Genomic DNA, 7,063 nt, shown 5'->3' on the forward strand with positions numbered 1-7,063 from the left:
ATGGAGTCTCACAGTGTCACCCAGGCTGTAGTGCAGTGGCACAATCTTGGCTCACTGCAACCTCTGCCTCCCAGTGCTATAGGAGTCAGAAGAAATCACTTGGGCAGATAGCCAGGGTACGGGAATCCTCAGTAAGGCTTTTCTTTTTCTTTTTTAATGAAAAGCTGCCCCAAATCATTTTCTAACAAAGAGCAGCCTGAAACCTGGGAGTTTGCAAGGGTGAATGCCAGCAGGAACTAAGGAGTAGACATGTTCAAGATAGCGACTTCATCTTCCCTTCTCTGCCAGTCATGTGTACTGTAAGGAGCAGACCAGATGGTGTCGATCACCTCGCCTCTACTAAAAATATAAAAATTAGCTGGGCGTGGTGGTGGGCGCCTATAGTCCCAGCTGCTCAGGCGGCTGAGGCAGGAGAATTGCTTGAACCGGGGAGTCAGAAGTTGCAGCGAGCTGAGATCGCACCATTGCACTCCAGCCTGGATAACGAGAGCAAAACTCTGTCTCAAAAAAAAAAAAAAAAAAAAAGAAAAAGAAAAAAAAAACAGATGGTGTCGATCAACTGGAAAGGCCATTTGCGTAACAAGATTAGGGTGGGGCAACCAGCCTTTCCTGAGCACTATGTAAACGTCATAGCTGATCAAACCAATCTGTGAGCCCTATGTAAATCAAGACACATTAAAACAGTCCACACTAAATCAGACACTGCCTCCTCAAACTGGTGTCTTCACTACCAGCCAGTCCTTTCCATTCGGAGACCTCTTCTTCTATAGAGGAAGCTATTTCTCTTTTCTCTTCTACCTATTAAACCTCTGCTCCTAAACCCCTTGTGTGTGTCTGTGTCCTAAATTTTCCTGGCCTGTGACAATGATAAATATATACCTGAGGGCATATACCCCAGACAATGTAGCCACTTCACCAGGTTCAAGTTATTCTCCTGCCTCAGCCTCCCCAGTAGCTGGACTACAGGCATGCACCATGCCCATCTATTGACCAATATCAGCTGGAAGTGAGTTTCAGTTTCTCTCTGGCCCCACCATGGTCAGCCCCAACCATCCTCCTGATTGCCTTGGAAGAATAGCCTTCGAAATTGGACATCTGCATCCAGATAGGTGAGTATCCTTTGTGGGCCCAGACAGCAGGATTTGCTCCTCTCAATTTGGGAAATTTTTAAAAGAATTTTCATTTGCAGGTTGAACAAGCCCAACTGACTGAGGGAGGGAAACACCCTGACTGTTTTTATGTGGACACTCTTGGGGGCTAGTTTATAATTGTATGTTGTGTCTGGGCAAGTGAGTGCCTCGTGTGTGTACCAGACAGCGGGATCAGTTCCTCTCAATTTGGGAAATTTCCTAAGGAATTTTTGTTTGCATTTGATCAAGCCCAACCAATGAAGAGAGGAAGCACCCTGACTGTTTGAGTTTGGACACTCTTGGGGCTTGTTTTTTGCTGCAGCAGTTGGATTGTGTTTTGGTGATCATTTGTGTGTGTTTTATATAGTCATGAGAAGTTAGAATTCGGTAAACTGATATTCATTTGCAATACTGTTGGCCCCAGTGTTGTTTGGAATCTGGCGTTTGCTGTTTGGAATCTGGAGTTTGCTGCTGAATGGGAAAGTGGGATGGAGTTGTGTGTATCCAGGCTTTTGTGCTGCTGTTCTAAGCAAGGTTGGGCCTGGCAGGTATGTGATGTTCTCCTTTGTTGCTGTTTGACCCCAATGTTCTTTGGAGTCTGAGGAGGTTTGGCCTTTAAAAATCAAACTGCCATGGAAACTACTATACCCAAAATTTTGATTCACAGCCTTCACTGAATTACCTACTGGGACAAAGTGTAACCATGTAAAACCAGTAAGCTTGTATTGCTATCTCATAGCTATAGTTCCAAGGTAAAAGCTATTGGATCTTTGTTTATGTGTGTATATTCATGTTTAGATGTGTTTATTTGTATGTACCCTTATTGGTATATGTTGTGTCTACCAAATTGGCTTATAAGTAAAACAGCACTCATAAATTAAATAAGTCAAAGCAATTTTCAAGTTCGTGTGAGTTAAGTAAATTTTTTCGAAACCAGCTGGCTGTAAAATTATTGGTAAAATGAAAATAAAAATGTCTTCAAAATTGTGAGCATACATTTTTGTCTGGATTTTATATTTGTCTCTGGTAGATATTTTGAGGTTTCAGGGTTTGGCATAGAAGGTTATAAAATTATAAACCCAGCCAAAACAAATGATCTTCATGAAAATTTTTTGAAAAGTAGTATTACGGGATCACTGGATGTCAATTTTTCTGGCCAGAAACCTCTGTGGCCAGTGGTGCTTTGCCTGAGTTCTTGTCCTGCGTTCAGGAAGAATGAGGTACTCAGGCAAGTGAACCAGACAAAGAGGAGCTTTATTTAGTATTAGAGCAGCTCAGGGGAGACGCACAGTGGGTAGCTCCTTTCTGTTACTCGTTGTCCCAACGTCTGCTGCTCTCAGCAGAGAGGAGGCCCTGGAGAGGACAGCTCCTGTCTGCTACTGGTCATCTTGACGTATGCTGCCCTCAGCAGAGAGGAGGCCCTGGAGAGGATGGCTCCTCTCTGAAGCTGGTCCACGCAATGTCTCTTCTGGTCTCTGAAGCTCTTAGCAGAGAGGGTAGCTCCTTTCTGCCAGCTGGCCATCCCATTGTCTCTAGCTATCAGCAGGGGGAATAGCTCCTCTCTGCATTTGGTCCTCTTGTTGTCTCCCCAACCTCTGCCCTGCTGTGGCTGAGCCCAGGGCTTTTATGTGGCTCGGGGAAGGGAGTGTGTGCTGACTGGTCCACAGGAAAAAGCACCATGAGTTCCTCCTCCAATCAGCAGGAATGGCAGCCTGGCCCCCACACTTCAGGCCTGTCCTGGCATGAAGGTGGGGCTTCACTGGGGACTTGCCCCCTTCCACCCAGGAGCCTGTCTGCCTTCCACAGCCATCCATAGTGCCCAGGCTGCTGGCACCAAGGGGCACCTGCAGGCCAGCACCAGTCACTCTCAGCCCCTCTCAACTTCCCTTCCTGCACTCCTCAGTGCCCAAAGTCCAGAGGGGGGCAGGGCAGCAGGGGACTGGCGTGTCAGCACTGCCCTGAGCTTGCACACACCTGGCAGCACTGTGACAGCCCCTGGACTTGGCCCCAAGCCTGGTCCAAGATCAGAGTGGGCACCGGGAGCAGGGAAAGGCCAAGCAGCAAGAGCAGGGAGAGGCCAAGCAGCAGGAGCAGGCAACTCTGAGCCTACAAGGGCAAGGAGGGGGCCTTTTCAGGCCCCCCAAGAGTGCAGGGATGCCTGGGTCTGCAGCCCCAATTTGGGCGGCTGCAGCACCCCACAGCGGGGTGGGGTTCCTGCCTGCTCTGTGGAACTGGAGGCCTGTATCTGGAGCTGTGGACCAAGTTGCTGCAGCTGCACCCAGGAAGGGATGGATCCTGCCTGCTCCTGGCCCCAACAAGAGCACAGGGAGGCTCAGATCTGCAGCGAACACCTGTAGTCCCAGGTACTCAGGAGACTGAGGCAGGAGAATTGCTTGAACCTAGGAGGCAGAGATTGCAGTGAGCTGAGATTGTGTTACTGTGCTCTAGGCCAGGGAACAAAGCAAGACTCTGTCTCAAAAAAAAAAAAAAGACTTTTGTCAACCACAATCGATGTTTTGCTTTGATTCTTCTCAAAAAGTGACTTACAATCAGCTACAGTCCAGGGCTTGCTTCTTTGGAGGAGTTCATTAAAAGGACTTTTGATTTGCAGGTTTCTGATAACTTTGGGGTTTGTGCCACTGAATTAGAGAGAAAACTTCCAGGACTGTAATTGAAAAGCTGGTGTGTTCATAAAGATTGCTAACTCAATATGAAACAGAGCAAGAGTTGATTGCATGAATTGAAACTGAAACTGAAATAGTTTTTATGGCTTTTTGTTTGAAATATTGCTGATTCTTTTGTTTGTTTGTTTGTTTGAGACGGAGTTTCCCTCTTGTTGCTCAGGCTGGAGTGCAGTGGCGGATCTTGGCTCACTGCAACCTCTGCCTCCCAGGTTCAAGTGATTCTCCTGCCTCAGCCTCCTGAGTAGCTGGCATTTCAGGCATGCATCACCATGCCCAGCTAATTTTGTATTTTTAGTAGAGACAGGGTTTCTCTATGTTGGTCAGGCTGGTCTCGAACTCCTGACCTCAGGTGGTCCACCCACCTCAGCCTCCCAAACTGCTGGGATTACAGGTGTGAGTGACCACGCCCAGCTATATTGCTGATTCTTTTTGTTTTTTCAGAGTCTGAATAATTTTTCCTTTTGAGCTGTTTATAGCCTTTAAGCATACTTTAAGTGTATTAAGTGGAGTATACTTTTTTTTTTTTTTTGAGATGGAGTCTCGCTCTGTTGCCCAGGCTGGAGTGCAATGGTGTGATCTTGACTCACTGCAACCTCCACCTCCTGGGTTCAAGCAATTATCCTGCCTCAGCCTACTGAGTAGCTGGGATTACAGGTGTGCACCACCACTCCCAGCTAATTTTTGTATTTTCAGTATAGATGGGATTTTGCCATGTTGGCCAGGCTGGTCTTGAACTCCTGACCTCAGCTGATCTGCTTGCCTTAGCCTCCCAAAGTGCTAGCCACTGCACCCAGCAAAAGTGCAGTGTACTTTTTAATTTTTTTGAGATGGAGTGTCACTCTGTTGCCCAGGCTAGAGTGCAGTGGCGTGATCTTGGCTCACTGCAACCTCCGCCTCCTGGACCCAAGTGATTCTCCTGCCCCAGCCTCCTGAGTAGCTGGGATTACAGGCGTGCGCCACCATGTCTGGCTAATTTTTGTATTTTTAGTGGAGACAGGGTTTCACCATGTTGGCCAGGCTGGTCTCAAACTCCTGACCTCAAGTGATCCACCAGCCTCAGCCTCCCAAAGTGCTGGGATTACAGACGTGAGCCATCGCACCCAGCTGAGTATACTTTTGTAAACAGAATTTGAGTCATATATCTCTCTCTGCCTAATTTCTCCAAAATTTGTAAACTATTTGTGAATATTCTTAATTCATGGCAATGTATATGTTTGCATATACTTAATAACAACATATTTTCAGCCAGGCGCGGTGGCTCACTCCTGTAATCCCAGCACTCTGGGAGGCCGAGGTGGGCGGATCACGAGGTCAGGAGGTCGAGACCATCCTGGCTAACACGGTGAAACCCCATCTCTACTAAAAACACAAAAAATTAGCTGGGCGTGGTGGTGGGCGTCTGTAGTCCCACCTACTCGCAAGGCTGAGGCAGGAGAATGACGTGAACCCAGGAGGCAGAGCTTGCAATGAGCCAAGATTGTGCCACTGCACTCCAGCCTGGGCAACAGAGCGAGTGTCCATCTCAAAAAAAAAAAAAAAAAAAAAAACCAACAACATATTTTCTTTTGTAACAGGGCACAATTGAAGGAACTGGTTTTATTATCATTATTATTATTATTATTATTATTATTTTGAGACAGAGCCTTGCTCTGTCACCCAGGCTGGAGTGCAGTGGCATGATCTTGGCTCACTGCAAGCTCCGCCTCCTGGGTTCACGCCATTCTCCTGCCTTAGCCTCCCGAATAGCTGGGACCACAGGTGCCCACCACCACGCCTGGCTAATTTTTTTTTTTTGTATTTTTAGGAGAGACAGGGTTTCACCATGTTAGCCAGGATGGTCTCGATCTCCTGACCTCATGATCCACCCACCTCGGCCTCCCAAAGTGCTGGGATTACAGGTGTGAGCCACCACACCTGGCCAGGAACTGGTTATTTTCTCAGGGCTTTGACTGAAATGGTCTTGTGAGATGTTCCAGCAAAGCTGATTTGGGAGAGTCTATATGGACAATGATTCTTGCTGCACTGTGTGTGGGTAATCAGGTCGATTATATGGGACTGCAGCTTATTTTGCAGGTAGATTGGTCCTGCTGTGATTTGTCTTTGGTGGAAGCAGTGGACTGTAGAGAGAAATATCATGTGTCAGAAGAAACTCTACATTAGATTAACCTTTGATCCCTGGATGGCTACATGGTCACCCATGGTATGGAGCTGCCTATGACACCCCTCCTCATTATGAAGCAGCCAGAAAGATAGACAACCAGATTCCTCATGATTGAGGAATTGATCAATAGAAAGGGGGCACTGAAACCAACCCAATAGTCCCATAGACTGTTCTTTTGGATAAACATAGAAATTGACCTTTCTGATCTTAAAGCTTGAACCTTATATTTGTTCTACTTGAGTTCCTTCCTCAGGAAAGGACCCTTAGGCCTTTTAAAAAAAAAAAGAAAACTGAAACTCATCAGATCATTACATTTGGATAGACTTTGGACCCCTCATTCATCGCGATTGCTTTCTTACCCTTCTCTAGTTCCTGTTTGCCTACACATTGTTACATTTCTTCCCTGCTATATAAACCCTTTGTTTTAGTCAGTCAGGGAGATGGATTTGAGGCTGAGCTCCCATATCCTGGGCTGCAGCACCCGATTAAAGCCTTCTTCCTTGGCAATACTTGTCGTCTCAGTCATTGGCTTTCAGTGTGGCGAGCAGCAGGACCTGGACTGAACCCCTCGTGTTTTGGTAACACAAAAAGAAGATGGCTGACTGGAGGCATCTTGCACTTGCCTCCTCCACAAAGAAGAACCAAAATAGCGAATAGATAATAATACTTTGAATCAAGCATCTAAGGGAGACCACTGGAACTCAACAGGGAAGTGACAGGAAACACCTGAGGCACAGGAGGAGAGGGAAGCGAGACAGCCAGCTCTGCAGGCCAGGATTGGCTGGGAGGCCAAGGAGTTTCCCCAGTGTGGGAAAGTGTAAATGAGAGATCCCTAGTGATCCACATTCCCACCTGAAACCCGAGACATGGGAGAACCTCGTGATCCTTGCAGGCCCTGAGAATAGTGTAGGAGCTGCCTGGAGACTGTGTGACGTCAGTGCTCTAGAGAGGGAGCTCACACTGGGTCCCACACCCCTCCTCCATGACCCCTAAGCAGCTGCAGCATGGGATCATTTTTAGAGCTAAGCACCTATCAGACTGCATTCTGTCCTGGGGCCCAACAGCCCTTGCATCTCCACATCTCTGGA

This window comes from Homo sapiens, chromosome 10 (genome assembly GCF_000001405.40).
Source record: "Homo sapiens chromosome 10, GRCh38.p14 Primary Assembly".
Taxonomy (NCBI): Eukaryota; Metazoa; Chordata; class Mammalia; order Primates; family Hominidae; genus Homo; species Homo sapiens.